Below are 15,818 nucleotides of genomic sequence, written 5' to 3' on the forward strand. Positions count from 1 at the left end.
CTCTGACAAAGTTCAAATCCCAGCTCTGCCATTTCTAGCTGGGGGAGTCTAGACACCTCCCTGAGACTCAGTTTCTTCATCTGTAAATTGAGAACAATAATAGTACTACTTCCAATGGTTATTGTGATGCCTATTTAGTGCTGAACCCAGTGTCTACAATCACAAATTTGCACAGTCACTTTAAAGAAAAGCCAACTGTATTCAAGGTAAAAATAAGGGTGCAGATGTTAAAATTCAGAAGAAATTATCTTTACTTCTCCAGCCTTATTTTCTGCACTTTACATGGCATCAGCACTGTACTGCCTGTGGTTCCCAGCATATATCATGCTATTTGTAGCCCTGTGCCTTAAGTTCTTGCTTAATAATGTTTCTTTTGACTGGGCACTGTGGCTCACGCCTGTAATCCCAACACTTTGGGAGGCTGAGGTGGGCAGATCACTTGAGGTCAGGAGTTCAAGACCAGCTTGGCCAACATGGCGAAACCCTATCTCTACTAAAAATACAAAAATTAGCCAGGTGTGGTGGCCTGTGCCTGTAGTCCCAGCTACTCGGGAGGCTGAGGCAGAAGAATCACTTGAACCCGGGAGGCGGAGGTTGCAGTGAGCCAAGATCGTGCCACTGCACTCCAGCCTGAGCGACAGAACGAGACCGTCTCAAATAAAAAAAAAAAAAGAATGCTGCTTTCCCTCCTGCCACTCACCCCTAACCCTCTGTTTGCTGACCAATTCCCACTCACTCTTCAAGGCTCAAGTTATAAGTCCTTGCTGGCCTTCTTCCTCTTTCTCAAGGCTTATGTATTTGTGACAACTACACTGTAATCTACTGACCTATTTAATATCAATCTTTCTACTTCTACTGTAAGCTTCCTGAGGTTAGAGACTAACTGGCTGCTGGATTCCCAGCAGTGGTATAAATGAGTAAGTAAATAAATATGTCTCAGACACAAAAAAGGTACTAAATAAGTTTTTCAGAAAATTAAATCAAACAGTTCCATAAAAACTAAGCTGGAACAGAGTATTATCTCTCCCCATCTGTTTCTAAGCACATCCTTTCCCACTCAATAAATGAAGTACTTCCCTCTATCTTTCAGGAAGTCTAGGGAACCATGGGACCTTTCATTACATTTCAGAGCCACGAGTACCTCACCAGACTTTACCTTGAGAGGAAAATGAGGGGCACTGTGATCAGTAGCTTTGCTGCTCAGATGGGCAAGAAAATGCAGGGTAGTTTATAAAGGTATCTGAAGAGAACTCAGTGCTGAGAAACAAAGGAAGGGAATGTATGAGATCACCTGCACAAAATAGCACTCACTAAATACTTCTGATTAACAAGATTCTTAAGGTTTTACTCATGTACATCCAGCCTCTGGCATATTTCAGGTTGGGCAAAGGGGCTCATCAAGAATTACACTTTTTTTTTTTTTAATTGGAAATACTTTCCCTACTACTAGGTTTACTGAATGGAAAAACTACAGCTAGGTGTTTTTTTTTTTTAATGGATTAACAAATAAACATAAAACATGGACATGTGAATAGCTTCAAAAGGCTAGGCACTGCTGCAGACAACACTACAGCAGGCATTTAATGGAAAAACAGTAAATCTTAAGCTGCTGAAACCAGGAGTGATTTATTTATTTATTTATTTTCTGAGACGGAGTTTCCCTCTTGTTGCCCAGGCTGGAGTGCAATGGCGTGATCTCAGCTCACCACAACCTCCGCCTCCCAGGTTCAAACCATTCTGCCTCAGCCTCCCGAGTAGCTGGGATTACAGGCATGCGCCACCACACTCAGCTAATTTTGTATTGTTAGTAGAGACAGGGTTTCTCCATGTTGGTCAGGCTGGTCTCGAACTGCCGACCTTATCTGCCCACCTCAGCCTCCCAAAGTGCTGGGATTACAGGCATGAGCCACCGCGCCCAGCTATCAGGAGTGATATTTAATGGTGAAACCTAGGAAGGCAGTGCTGCACAGTGTCTTTTTCAGCGTGAGCATAATCTAGAAACTGCTCCCTCTCACTTAAAGCCGGATAGGAAAGATGAGAAACCTGAAGATACTTTTTGAGGACCAAAGGCCTTCTCTTTTTCTGGGCTTCCCAGGTACTTGAGTGAAAATTCAAAATGTAAGCTAGTTTAAAGTTTATTTTCTATGCATGCAATTTAATAAATACTAAGTAATATATGCTAAACTAACTAAATTCCTATGAGACTTGCAATGGAACTTCTATGGAACACCTTATACCTGAATTAAGTATTTGGGAATTTAGTACTTCCCAAGGAGGAGTTCCACACCATTGGAAAAAAGGAGTGACTGTTTCATATAATGAACTAAGAAAAGCTGCTATTTGGAATAAAATAAACATAATCCTTACTTCACATCATGTAGTAAAATTAATTTCAGACAATTAAAAGATATAAAAATAATACTATAAATAGCTTTAAAACATATAGGTCTAAATTTTTTCAATAAGTAGAATATTTCTATCCTTATTGACGGAAAAGTGAACTAAGAAAAATAATTTTAAAAACCCACACACAAGACTGGATTGATGGCATTAAAATTTTGTAAATGTCTGTATATACAAATGAATGAAATAAACAAAACAAAATGGCAAATGAAAAACCAGAGGAAAATTTGCAACATAACAGAAAAAGGTTAATATTCTTAGTATATAAAGAATACTTACACATCAATATGAAAAAGTAAATAGCCATGAAGAAAGCTGGGCAAAGAACATGAACGATTTACAAAACAAGGAATATATAATAAAACATATAATAGTAAATATTTGAAAAAATGTTTAGCCTCTAATTTTTAAAAATGTAAATTAAAACAACAATAAAATACTAGTGATTAAGAGAAGGGGTTGTGAGGTCAGACACCAGGCCTATAATCCTGGACAATTCACTTCACTTATCTGAGTCTGTATTTTCTTGGTAAAATCAAGAGAATAACAATGCTTACGCCACAGGAGTGATGTGAAAATTAAGCAACATGAGGCACAAAAGGTACTCAACACAGTGTCTAGTATACAGTAAGTGTTCAATAAATATCCCTATGATGATGATGCTACTTAAGGCTGTGAGACTACACTTAAACATTTTTATACAATGCTTGTAAACAAAGATTGATTCAACCTTTCTGCTGGATAATTTGGCAACATGTATCAAAAGTCTTAAAAGTGATCATATCCTTTGGGCTTCTCAAGATATCTGTCTATGCTTAAAAACAGTAGAAGAACTCAAAATAGAAGATTGCTAAATATGACTATATCTGTTGATCATCCATTGATCCATGTGTCAAATACTTTTTTTTTTTAAGAGGGAGTTTCATTCTTATTGCCCAGGCTGGAGTGCTATGGCGAGGTCTTGGCTCACTGCAACCTCTGCCTCCCGGGTTCAAGCGATTCTCCTGCCTCAGTAGGAGTAGCTGGGATTACAGGCATCCACCACCGCATCTGGCTAATTTTTGTATATTTAGTAGGCTGGTCTCAAACTCCCGACCTCAGGTGATCTGCCTGCCTCAACCTCCCAAAGTGCTGGGATTACAGTAGTGAGCCACCGCGCCCAGCCCCATGCGTCAAATACTTTTGAGCTCTGATAATACAAAAATATGTAAATGACCCAGTCCCTGACTTATAGGTTAGTGGGGGAGATAAGTAATAAAACAAGTACAGTAGAAAGATAAGAGCCACCATGGGTAAGTATAGGGTGCTATGCTGTGCGTAGAAGGAGCACCTACCATGATCTGAGGGGGTGGAGTCAGGGAAGCTTCCCAGAAGAAGTGACATTTAAGCTGAGACCTGAAGGATGAGTAGGAAATAGTTAGGTAGAGAGATGAGGGAAAAGTGTTCCAGGTAAAGGAAACAGCATGTGCAAAAGCCTAAAGACCAAAGGGAGCATGGGCATGTCAGCTTAACTGTGAGCAGTGTGCAAGGCAGGGACTTGGGAAGAGACAGGGCTGAAGAGGTAAGCAAGGCTGGATCATTTAAGGTCTCACTAGCAATTCAAATTATAGACTTTATTCTAAGAATAATACAAACTGAATTAAAAAGCAAATAGTTTGTAACAAATATAATAGTTAATATTTGTAATACATCGAGGGTACACAAACTGAAAAGAATAGCTCATAAAAAGGAAATACGATTGAAGTGAGTGTTGCACAACTCTGTAAATTAATTAAAAATAATTGGATTGTATACTTATTAAAACAGGTACATTTCAGAGTTTGTAGATTATACCTCAAAAAATATATCTTTTCAAAAACTTTAATGTAAATGCCTAATAAGCATTTGAAAAATACGTGACCTAACAATAAAATACAAATCAAACCAACTAGGTACTACCCTTTATCCTAAAAAATTAGTAGTGATTAAAATAAAAATGAAATGAGGCTGGACACATTGGTGTGTGCTTATAATCCCAGCTAATCAGAAGGCTGAAGTGGGAGGATTGCTTGAGCCAAGGAGTTCAAGGCTAGCCTGGGAAATAACAAGACACCAATTCAAAAATGAAAATGAAATGAGAATATCCAGTGTAAATACAGTTAGGAAAAATGAGCATTCTTATACTATGCTAGCTGGAATAAACATTAATTGGAGTAACTTTTCTAGAAAATATATATAACAGAAGTCTTTAAAAAAATTGGGTTTTTTTGACGGAGTCATGCTCTGTTACCCAGGCTGGAGTGCAGTGGCACAATCTTGGCTCACTGCAACCTCTGCCTCCTGGGTTCAAGCAATTCTCCTGCCTCAGCCTCCCAAGTAGCTGGAACGACAGGCATGTACCGCCACACCCAGCTAATTTTTTGTATTTTTAGTAGCGACAGGGTTTCACCATGTTGGCCAGGCTGGTCTCAAACTCCTGACCTTGTGATCCGCCCACCTTGGCCTCCCAAAGTGCTGGGATTACAGGTGTGAGCCACCGTGGCTGGCCTTAAAATTGTTTATACCCTATAATCTAGTAATTGAATTTCTTGAAATCTTAATAAATGTTCCAAACTGAGTCAAATATTTATAGCCAATGATGTTCATTGTAATGTAATTTATAATAGAAAAAAAAGGGCTGGGTGTGGTGACTCACATCTGTAATCCCAGCATTTTGGGAGGCTGTCGTGAGAGGATTGCTTGAGCCCAGGAGTTCAAGACCAGTCTGGGCAACAGGATGAGACCCCATTTCTCCAAAATATAAAATATTTAGCTGGGCATGGTGGTGCATATCTATGGTCCCAGCTTTTTGGTGGGGCTGAGATGGAAGGATCACTTGAGCCCAGGAGGTCAAGGCTTCAGTGAGCTGTGATTGCACCACTACACTCCAGCCTGGGCAACAGAGTGAGATCCTGCCTCAAAAAAAAAAAAAATCCGGGGGCAGGGGGGTTGGAAAAAAACTGAATGCCAACCGATAATGGAATGGAAAGGTTAGAATGAGTTAAAACTACTGAATGGAGCCGGGTGCGGTGGCTCACACCTGTAAGCCTGTAACTTCAGCCAGGCGTGGTGGTGCACGTCTGTAGTCCCAGCTACTTGGGAGGCTGAGAAGGCAGAATCGCTTGAACCCAGGAGGCGGAGGTTGCAGTGAGCTGAGATCATGCCACTACACTCCAGTCTGGGCAACAGACTGAGACTCTGTCTCAAAAAACCAAACCAAAACAAACAAACAAAGACTACTGAATGCAGTGATTTAAATGATATGGCAATACATCTGTGATAGACACCAAACTTCTAAAAAAACAAAGATATGAAATTATATATACAGCAGCACTTCAGCTTTATAAAATAAATGGCACATGTCTTTTTTTATCTTTTCTGTACTTCTCTGTATTTCTGGATTTCCTACAATAGTCATTTCTAGAGTTTATGAAAATTTCTAAAGCTGTCTTCAAAAAATTCAAAGGCATCACTTTTTTTTTCTCTGTCACTGGTGCCTAAATAAGGAAAAGCATCACTTGTGTTTATACTTAATAGAAATCAATTTTGTATTTGCCTTGGCTTTATTTTCTCAAGCTAGGCAGAGAAGTGTGCTATATTTAATCCATATGTACATATAACTCAATAATATTCATTCAGCATCAAGAAATAAAATGTATATGTAAATTGATTTACCCATTAATTAGAACGTGCATCTTAAATGTCAAAACTTTGGTGAAACTTAGATGGACATCTATCTAAAAATATACCACACTCAATCCTGATCGCTTAAATCAAGATTTAAAACAAGAGTAAGCCTTCTTATGATGATTCAGAATCATCATTAGGAACGTATAATAGTAGCTCTCAGGAACTACTGGGTCCTAGAGGGCTATCTGTCCCTATATTAATTAGGCAAGAATTGCTCAATTTTTTTATTATGCCAGGTACTTGTGGGTTTTTTTTTTCCTTTTCCCTTGTGGTGAAACCAACAGCTATCCTTTCCCAGCACTATAGGGAACCTGCCTTTAGCAGCACCTGTAATTTTCCATTATTATGTTGCTTTTGGTAATCTAAGAATAAGGAAACTTAATATCCACATTTATAAGATTTATGTATAAAGTAAGAGTTAATAGGCTTCAAACAAAGCTGTCACCTAAAATGGTTTGCACAAACTTAGATGATTCTGTTCTAGGTAGTCAAGGTTGCAATATAAATGATCTCCAAAGAGAGTGTGAGTTCTTGATTGTGCCTCATATCTTGCACCTTTACTCAACTGGCAGTCAAGTCTCTGGAACAGAAACCGCATATGCTGTTTCTCTTATCACATCATGGAAAGAGATATAAACCAGGAGCCAAGGAACTTACTTCTATGCAGTTATTACACCCACAAGTTTTGTCACTTTCAGCCAAGTCTTTAAACTGTGGTACCTGTCCTGCATAATTTTTGGGGCTACTTGAGAATTAAATTAGATCACAAACACACACACCCCAAAAACCACTCTGAAAAGTATAGGGCACTACAGAAAACTAAAATATTATTATAGTATTATACTTTGTTTATTTAACCCTGGATCAATATAGGTATCAATTCAGAAAATTCACACCAGATTGGGGATTGGTGGGAGAATGGGGAGGAGATGATGGTCAAAGGGTACAAAGTTTCCATTAGACAGGAGGAGTAAGTTATGAAGAGCTATTGTACAATATGGTTTCTACAGTCAATAATAATATATTGTAGACTTGAAAATTGTAGCCGGTCACAGTGGCTCATGACTATAATCCCAATTCTTTAGGAGGCTGAGACAGGAGGATCCCTTGACGCCACGAGTTCAAGACCAGCCTGGGCAGCAAGACCCCAAGCAAGTCCCCATCTCTACAAAGAAAAAAAATTAAAATTAGCTGGGCAGTCCCAGATACTCAGGGGGCTGAGGCAGGAGGATCACTTGAGCCCACGAACTTGAGGCTGCAGTGAGCTATGACTGTGCCACTGCACTCCAGCCTGTGCTACAGTGAGACCCCATCTAAAAAAAAAAAAATAAAGGAAAGAAAGAAAATTGCTGTGAGTACATTTTAAATGTTTTCACCACAAAAAAAGCTAACTAGGTGAAGTGATAGATGTTAATTAGCCTGACTTAATTATTCCATAATGTACACATATATCAAAGCATCATGTTGTATATTATAAATGTTTTGTCCATTAAAAGTTAATACATTTTTTAAAATAAAAAAGTTTAAAAAAAGAAAATTTATACCAGAAAGAATCAAAAGAGACAGAGATAATTCTTATATTGCCCTCTAATAATCAGGAAACATCTATTATCTAGGAAGAACAATATCTATCCTAAGAGTTGGCATCTCTGATCCCTCCCTGCAAATCTAATCAGTTCCCAAGTATTTTCCACAACCCCTCACATCTGTCTCTTTCTTTCCTTTACCACTTCAAAATCCCAGTTTGGGCATTTATTACCTCACACCTGGGCTTCTAGAACAGCCTCTCACTGGCTCCACTCATGGCCTCTCTCTCTTTCTCAAAGCCCTCTGGCTCATATCTACTAGATCAATTTTCTTAAAATAGGCCAGGTGTGGTGGCTCATGCCTGTAATCCCAGCACTTTGGGAGGCCAAGGTGGGCAGACGGCTTGAGCCCAGGAGTTTGAGACCAGCCAGGGCAACATGGCGAAACCCCATCTCTACAAAAAAAAAAAAAATACAAAATACAAAAATTAGCCAGGTGTGATGGTGCGTGCCCGTAGTCCCAGCTACTGGGGAAGCTGAGGTGCGAGGATCACTTGAGCCCAAGAGGTGGAGGTTGCAGTGAGCCGAGATTGTGCTGCTGCACTCCAGCCTGAATGGCTGAGTGAGACCTTGTCTCAAAAAAAAAAAAAAAAAATCTTAAAATACCACTGTGATCATTTCTACTCAAAACCTCAGCAGACTCTCCACTACCTTCTCCATCAAGTTCAAACTCCAAACTCCCAAGCTCAGTAGTCCCTGTGCAGCCCTAGCTGCCTCCTCGCCTTTATCTCTTACTACTGTCCCATACAAATCCTTCCTCAAACTGGTCTATTTAATTCCTTCAGATATGCCCTGTACTTTTCTGCCTCTAAGTTTTGGTGTACACAATTTCTCTTCACTTGCAATACTCTCTTCTTCACAGCTTGTCTCTTGGCCTATAGAAATTCAATCCATCCTTCAAGAACTAGTTCGAGAGCCACCTATTAGGCATACTTTTTGATCACCAAGGAGGAAAAGATGGCAGATTCTAAAGTTAGACACATCTGGGTTTGAATTATAACTCCAGTCACTTACTGGCTGAATGACACTGCGCATATTCCTTAATAACTCTGCCTCAGCTTCATCTTTAAGATGGGGATAAGAGCAACTTCCCTAAGGCATACTGTGTAAAGTAAATGAATTAATTCATGTAAAGCGCTTAACATGATGCCTGGCATAGATGAGGACCCAAGAAATGTTAGATATTGTTATACTCTTATTATTAACATTGCCATTAGTGAACTTATCTTAATCTGAATTCAGACAATACTTATGACCATCACAAACTCTTCAGGTACCTACAGTATCATTCCCCTTCTTCTTCTTTTCCCTCTTACCTTATGTTTGTTCTTCCTCCAATGCCCCAGCCCCCCAGATTGCAAGATCCTGATGAACAGGTCAATTTCCTATACATCTTAGTATCTACAATGGTCACTCACACCTAGCATATTGTTTAATGCCTAATGAAACAACACTAAAGAGCTGGCAGTATTAAAATGCCCTGCATCCTATAGTGTAAAAGTATTAACAGCGTACTTAAAGTGATTAATAAAAAAATGTAAATTTCCAGTCTCACAAAATTAAATCTCTTCTTTCATGGTCCTCTAGGTTCTTTTTGCTCTCTATTTTAAAACAAACAACCCAACCTATTCATACAGCAAGAGATAGAACAGCAAAATATATGGAGGTCAGACAGCAGCCAAATGCTAGAGTACAAGGACCTCGAAACAACTCAGCTGAACACAATTCTGGATGAAGTCCAATAGGAAGACAATTTAAAGAGAAAGGAAGCTGGCTTATCAGTTATACTAATGATGCTGATTGTTACACCAGCCTTAGGATTCCTTTGCATTCAGGGCCAAGTATAAACAACTGAAATAACCAGGCTAGTAGATATAGAAATATTAGTGATTTTGCTCAACAACTGAGCTTATTACATGATCAATTTAATTACCTATGTCAAAAGTGACTATTAACATACCTCAAGATTCTAAAGTAACTCAAGTTTTGGCTAATGAAGTCATATCAAGTGTACACGGTCTTACTGTATACTAATCATTCACTTCAAGTAAATTAGTATGATGACAACTTGATATACATATATTATCATAGCATAAGCTATTTTCAACAGTGCCCAAGGAAAATAAATGTTACTATAGTACTGATTTCTAGTTTATTTGCATGACTCTACTAACTTTCAATCGATTTCTTCAAAATCAGGCCTAGTAACCACAAACCAAAGAGTTTACTAGTGGAGTGAATTAAGAAGGTTTGATGGTATGTTAATGACTTTCCAAAAACTAGCATAAAGTACTACACATAAGAATAAATTATATTAAAGATTTATTCCTATGATACTTGTCTTCAGATGACCCTAAAATGTTTTACCAGCTTTGAAGTACAAGTATTCTCAAATCACAAAATCTTAGATTAGAAATAGTCTTAGAAGTCCCCCACTGCAGGAATTCTTTATACCACCTCCCAGGCAAAATGTTCTCCAGCCTTTGCTTGAATATTTCCAGCAATGTGCACTCACTATTTTGCAAGGCAGTGCACTCCACTGTTACAAATTCTTCCTTACAATCACTGGAAATCTGCCTCCCTGAACCAAGAATCCCAGTTCTGCTCTCTGAAACAACACAAGATATATAACCTTTGAAATAAAATCACTTATTAAGATATAGTTGTCAATTTCATCACACAAAATGCAATTAAAGCTCAGAAAAGAAGAAACCACAACCATACACAACAAAACTTTGAAATTCAGGAAATTATACTGAAATGACAAGCCAGCAAATTTCAGGATATCAAAGCTCACACCTCAGTTAACATACAAATATTAAGGGTAACCTGATGATTTTTTTACAGTGGAAAGTGGTACAGTGTTTATTAAATACCTTTTTTTGCAACCTGATACTACCAAATCCACCAACACCGTTTTTAAAATTACAGTTCTGTAGGAAGTTCAAGGTGGTTTTCCCAGTTGCTCGCATTTTCACTCAGTTTATTTCTCTCTAAAACATCTGGATGTTGGTTTTTTAAAGCCCATTTGCCCCACTGGTGCAATATATTGTTTTTAAAAATAAATATTTTCAAAAATGGAGCCTAAGAGAATGGAGTGTAAACGAATGGGGGTGGGGCGAGGAGAGAAGGCAAAGACGGGCCCAGCGGGGAAAGGCTGGTTACTGGGTATTTTCCTTCTGAGAGCATGCTTTATTGGCATAGGCATCTGAGGTAACGAGCCATACAAACACGACCTTAGAACAAGAATGATCACGAGCAATGAGTGTAAGGCATAAATATCTGTAAGACGGAAATAATTTGACACTGATCACTAAGCAGCACCAGATGCTTCGGGACCTCATAAAGGAAAGGTAAGAGGTCCAGGAAACAGAGATCATTGCTACCCTCTGGGGTGGGGGGCAGGCGGGAGAAACCAAGGAATAACTACGGTTGGGCAGTTCAAAGCCTGAACAGTACAGAGCAAAAGAAAGCCAGCAAGTGACTAGGGGAAGGCACACACCCTGGCGAGTACGAAGAAGGGTGTGCAGTGTGCAAATACTGAACAGGTCTATGAAATGGTGTGGGTAAGAGATGTGGGTGTGGGTAAGGGGCAACGCAGGAGGCTCACGGTCCCCTCCCTGCAGCAGAGCAACAGAGGGTAAAAGAAGGGGGAGGGTGAAAAGCAAGAATGACTCATTACCAAAAGGAAGTGCTCAAGCCATAGGGAGGCATGCCACAGGGGATTTCAGGGCGAGGATTGTGAGGAGCTAGGTGCTCAGGGTGATGGGGGCAAAAATCAACGTCTTGTAGTTCCTGCTGCTAGTCTTTAACATGGGGGTGTGGGGGGGTTCGCGGCAGCCGAGTGCCAAGGCCTGGGAAGCGGCGCGGCGCGTGCGCAGTGGCGTTCGGCGGGACCCGCTGAGGCAAAGCGGAGCCGCAGTGACAGAAGCAAGCGGAGCGGCCGCCAGGAAGGACTCACCGAGGCGCAGGGGCTGGAGGTGGTGCTGGGGGTAGGTGACCGCTGGACCGTGACCAAAGCCATCTAGGCGCTGCTGGGTTGTTCCGGGCAGGGCATTCTTGTCCTGAGTGTGGGGGACGGGAGGGTGACGGAGCCGGGATGGGGAAAGGGGTGCGGGGTGGGGGTGAAGGGAACGGGGAGGAGGAGGAGGCCGCGGGAACGGCCGCAGACTCCGCACCCACCACCAGACTGTCGCCGACTGACGCTCCGAACGGGCGGCGGGCGGGCGGTTCCGCAGCTGCGGGGCACAATGAGCGCTCCCAGTGCGCAGGCGCCACCTGTCAGCTACCGCCTCTCCCCTCGGCGCGCGCCGCCGCCTGGTCGTAACCCTTGAGTTGCCGGAAGCTGGCCGAGTGCGTGCGCCTCGGGCCGCCGCACCCTCCTGGGTTTCCTCCTTCGTGCTGGAATCGCGCGGTTTGCCAGCACTGGGTGCTGTGGAGTGGGGTGGGGGAAGGGGCCGAAGGGAGCCAGCCCGGTGAGGGGTCCCAGGGCGGGGGGCCGCTGGAGTCTTCACTCCTGAGAGACAACCATTTTATGAGGTGGGGCGGCGCACAGCTTAACCAACCTTAAAAAAAAGCAGCTGAGATGAAAATCCTGAAGCAAACACGTTTTCTATTGGGAAAGGGCTCCGCGGAGTTTCAAACCCTCTCACTGGGCGCAGACAGAACTGGGCTAGACCAGTTTACTCCCTTCACCCCGGCTCTCGGGGGCTTTTTCTTAACTTTTCCCCCCCTTCCGTCTATGTTTTATGATGAGACTTCTGGAAAGAAAACCATTTTCCGTTTGATACCCTGGAAAGGTTTGTGGTACCCTCATGCTTCCTCTATTGCCTGTCTAAAGACTTATTCATTATTCCTGAGGAGAAGAGAAGCTGAGCGCGCCTGGGAGTCCGAGGAAGCCGGTTGTGAGGGTCCAGCCTGCTATTGACCTCTCACTTGCCTCCTGCTGTGAAGACAGTCTTTTAATTAAACAGGATTTGCTCGTTAAGCTTTCTTCTCCTTCGTCTCTAAATGTCATTCTTTCATAGACCTATGTAAAAATGTAGATTAAAAGATATTTTAAGGGAATGGTTTTCTCAGGGGTAAATTGTCTGCAGAACATAAGCAAAGAATGTAATGGAAAATCAAGATTAAAAAGGAAAAAAATTGCACAATGCAAATATCACTGATTATTTACACAAAGAAAGAGAGTTGACAAGGCTATTTCTCAGCTTGAGTGGATGAGCTGGTAAATACCACCGTACATATCAAAGCTGTAGAAAACACACACACTTGGGAGTTTGCAGTTATTAAAACCCACCCCCTCCTGTTTGTCACTCAAACACTCTTGGATCTCATTGCTTCTTTTAAACTGACAGGGCTGTCATGAGCTCTTTCTGGCTGCTGTACGGTTAAACGCCACAAGAGTCCTCTGTGCTGAGCCTTTGTTCTCTCCCTGGGGCCCTGTGGTTGAAATAATTAGCAGGGAGGTTCCATCAAGAATCAGACACTGAGGGTCCCTGTACTGTACAGTCCTATGTAGAGTGTAGTGCAGAGAAGCCAGCTGGTAGGCTTTTGCCCCCTGGTGGTGATCAGGAGTGCCTGTGAGACAAAATTAAACAAAGATGTATGGTTCACAGATTAAACAATCTGACTGTGTTTTCCCCAGAGCTCCGTAGTAAACAGGAAAAGAGAAGGCAAGTTTCAGAAGTAAGAACTTTGAACCAATGCATGGGAGACCAAAGAGGAAACTAGATACATAGCCAAAAAATACACATAGCTAGAAGCTGAATGAACTCAAATAAATGAAATATATGTGCTTTATGAACCAAAGTATCATTCTAGAAAAAGTAATATTCAAATCTGTAGGTCTTAGTACTTGTATGTTGATTCTCTGACTCAGGGAGGGCAACAATGATGTTCTACTTTTTCATGGTAACATACTCTTCAGAAATTCTTTTGGAAGATGAAAGGCTTAAGTCCATTAACCTTGCAGTGAGAAAGAGCACTACCATAGGAATCAGAAGACCTGGTTTCTAGTTCCAGCTCTAAAACCTTATGCAAATGGCTTGAACTTTTTGAGCTTTAATTCCTTTATCTCTACAATGGAACCCTAACTGACAAGATTCTTGAGATAATGTATGGTAAAGTTCAGAATAAACTGTAAATAAAGCCCTCTATGCAATTAAGATAACTTTTTTTTTTTTTTTTTTTGAGACGGAGTCTCCCTTTGCCACCCAGGCTGGAGTGCAGTGGTGCAATCTCGGCTCACTGCAACCTCCGCCTCCCGGGTTCAAGCAATTCTCCTGCCTCAGCCTCCCGAGTAGCTGGGATTACAGGGGCCCGCCACCACACCCGGCTAGTTTTTATATTTTTAGTAGGGACGGGGTTTCACCGTATTGGCCAGGCTGGTCTCGAACTCCTGTCCTCAAGTGATCTGCCCACCTCGGCCTCCCAAAGTGCTAGGATTACAGATGTGAGCCACTGTGCCCGGCTTTTTTTTTTTTTTTTTTTTTTTGACACGGATTTTTGCTCTTGTTGCCCAGGCTGGAGTGCAATGGCACCATCTCAGCTCACTGCAACCTCCACCTCCCGGGTTCAAGCTATTCTCCTGTCTCAGCCTCCTGAGTAGCTGGGATTACAGGCATGTGCCACCACGCCCGGCTAATTTTATGTCTTTTTAGTAGATATGGGGGTTTCACCATGTTGGTCAGGCTGGTCTCGAACTCCTGACCCCAGATGATCCACCTGCCTTGGCCTCACAAAGTGCTGGGATTACAGGTGTGAGCCCCCGCACCCGGCCATCATTCTTTTTCTTAATAGTAGAAGTAGATTAGTGGTCAAGACATGTTTCATCTGTAGGTAAGTGTGGAACATTTTTGTTCCACATATCTAAGGTGATAAAATCCTGATCAAAATTGAATTATGGGATGACAAAATTCACATTGTTTGTATCAGGAAGTTAATTTATTAATTTTCAGGGGAAATATCTCTTCCTGGTATATACCTTTTAAGGAAACTAAGATTTGGAAATTATTGGTGCATGTTCATTAATTTATTTACTAATAATTGAGAAAATATTTATTGAATGTGTATCATATACTAGACACTGCTTTAAGAACAAGACAAATGTTTATCTACCTCTTAGGGGCTCAAAGCCAATTAGTAGGGGAAAACACATCAACAAATAATTAGAGCGTAGCTTAGTGGTACCATGGCTTCTGTCACCTCGGCTAGGCGCGAAAGGAGGTATGTAGAAATATAGAAGAAGTCTATATACGTACAAAGTTCTATAGAAACAAAGGAGAGAAGGTCTGGGCAAATGTGCTCTTTATGATATTGGCTTTCAGGCTTTGTCTGCAGATCCCAGTACAGTCGCTTTGCGAACGGAGCTGGACCACACTAAGCATTTGATGAAATCTATGCTTTGTGCCCCATTTATACCTAATTTCCCTAGGCTCCACCCTGGTTCCTCCTAGGTCTTCTGGTGAACTGAGAGAGGAGATATCTTCTAATAGAGTGAAGAGCCTAGGATCCTCTTACTATTCTAGCTGAATTTGAGGAGAGAGAGGCCAAGAGCAGGATTCCCAAAAGAGGGAGCCAAAGAGACAAAAGTCCTCCTAGTTCTACTTAGAGCACTTTCACTCTTCCCACCTGCGATGCTGGAGGCCTGGTTGTACCACTGGAGTCCATTTAACCCTTAACTTGTATCAATACTTCTTCCGGGGTGAAATTATAGGGGAGCTTGAAATCTCTGAGGTTAGCTGGTTCTCAAGCTTTGAGAACCTGATGAAAACTATTGACCTTCTCTCCAGAAAAATGTACTTGCATATTTCTCATACCTACTAAAACCTATCAAGGAACCAAGGTGAAGAATCCTGATCTAAATGTTAAAGGGGTGGTTCTCTACCTTTTTTTTCCACATCATGACATCCATAGAAATAGTATTTGTACAGCACACTGGGATAAATTAAAGGGGATTTGGAGGCAGCTAATTACATGGGGCTTGGTGAAAAAAATTGTTTCTTTATATTACTTACTTTTAATGACAAAAATAAACATATTAAGGATGACACTAAATATTGAATTTGTATACATTTCCAAACAAAGATGTCTAAAAATTTAATGAAAAACCTGAGATTG

General features: G+C 41.2%; 2 protein-coding genes across 13 annotated transcripts in view, besides 5 other annotated features; one reads left to right on the forward strand and one right to left on the reverse strand.

Moving 5' to 3' along the window:
• Positions 1–11,949, reverse strand: part of SSH2 (slingshot protein phosphatase 2) — a 304,291-nt gene extending 292,342 nt beyond the window's left edge. For 5 of the 9 annotated variants that reach the window (XM_047436968.1, NM_001282129.2, XM_047436970.1 and 2 more), the window contains exon 1: positions 11,659–11,949. Coding sequence is in view for 8 of the 9 variants with exons in the window: in NM_001282129.2 (NP_001269058.1) it covers positions 11,659–11,721 (63 nt within the window). In the remaining variant the exon portion in view is untranslated. The remainder of the gene's footprint in view (positions 1–11,658) is intronic. The other 4 variants (XM_047436967.1, XM_005258058.4, XM_047436971.1 and 1 more) reach the window with 2 other exon arrangements.
• Positions 11,149–11,198: a silencer, noted in NCBI's record as "silent region_8388". NCBI's record gives its function as "represses an Ori minimal core promoter by ATAC-STARR-seq in GM12878 lymphoblastoid cells {active_cell/tissue: GM12878}" and the evidence as "EXISTENCE:reporter gene assay evidence [ECO:0000049][PMID:35858748]".
• The window catches only part of EFCAB5 (EF-hand calcium binding domain 5), a 178,550-nt gene continuing 174,355 nt past the window's right edge, over positions 11,624–15,818 (forward strand). For all 4 annotated transcript variants that reach the window (XM_024450742.1, XM_024450743.1, XM_047435947.1 and 1 more), the window contains exon 1: positions 11,624–11,689. The gene's annotated coding sequence lies outside the window, so the exon portion shown is untranslated. The remainder of the gene's footprint in view (positions 11,690–15,818) is intronic.
• Positions 11,709–11,988: a silencer, noted in NCBI's record as "silent region_8389". NCBI's record gives its function as "represses an Ori minimal core promoter by ATAC-STARR-seq in GM12878 lymphoblastoid cells {active_cell/tissue: GM12878}" and the evidence as "EXISTENCE:reporter gene assay evidence [ECO:0000049][PMID:35858748]".
• Positions 12,139–12,228: a silencer, noted in NCBI's record as "silent region_8390". NCBI's record gives its function as "represses an Ori minimal core promoter by ATAC-STARR-seq in GM12878 lymphoblastoid cells {active_cell/tissue: GM12878}" and the evidence as "EXISTENCE:reporter gene assay evidence [ECO:0000049][PMID:35858748]".
• Positions 12,962–13,131: a silencer, noted in NCBI's record as "silent region_8391". NCBI's record gives its function as "represses an Ori minimal core promoter by ATAC-STARR-seq in GM12878 lymphoblastoid cells {active_cell/tissue: GM12878}" and the evidence as "EXISTENCE:reporter gene assay evidence [ECO:0000049][PMID:35858748]".
• Positions 15,092–15,386: a silencer, noted in NCBI's record as "tiled region #3195; HepG2 Repressive DNase matched - State 8:EnhW". NCBI's record gives its function as "represses a minimal TATA promoter and a strong SV40 promoter by Sharpr-MPRA in HepG2 cells {active_cell/tissue: HepG2}" and the evidence as "EXISTENCE:reporter gene assay evidence [ECO:0000049][PMID:27701403]".

This window comes from Homo sapiens, chromosome 17, assembly GCF_000001405.40.
Source record: "Homo sapiens chromosome 17, GRCh38.p14 Primary Assembly".
Taxonomy (NCBI): Eukaryota; Metazoa; Chordata; class Mammalia; order Primates; family Hominidae; genus Homo; species Homo sapiens.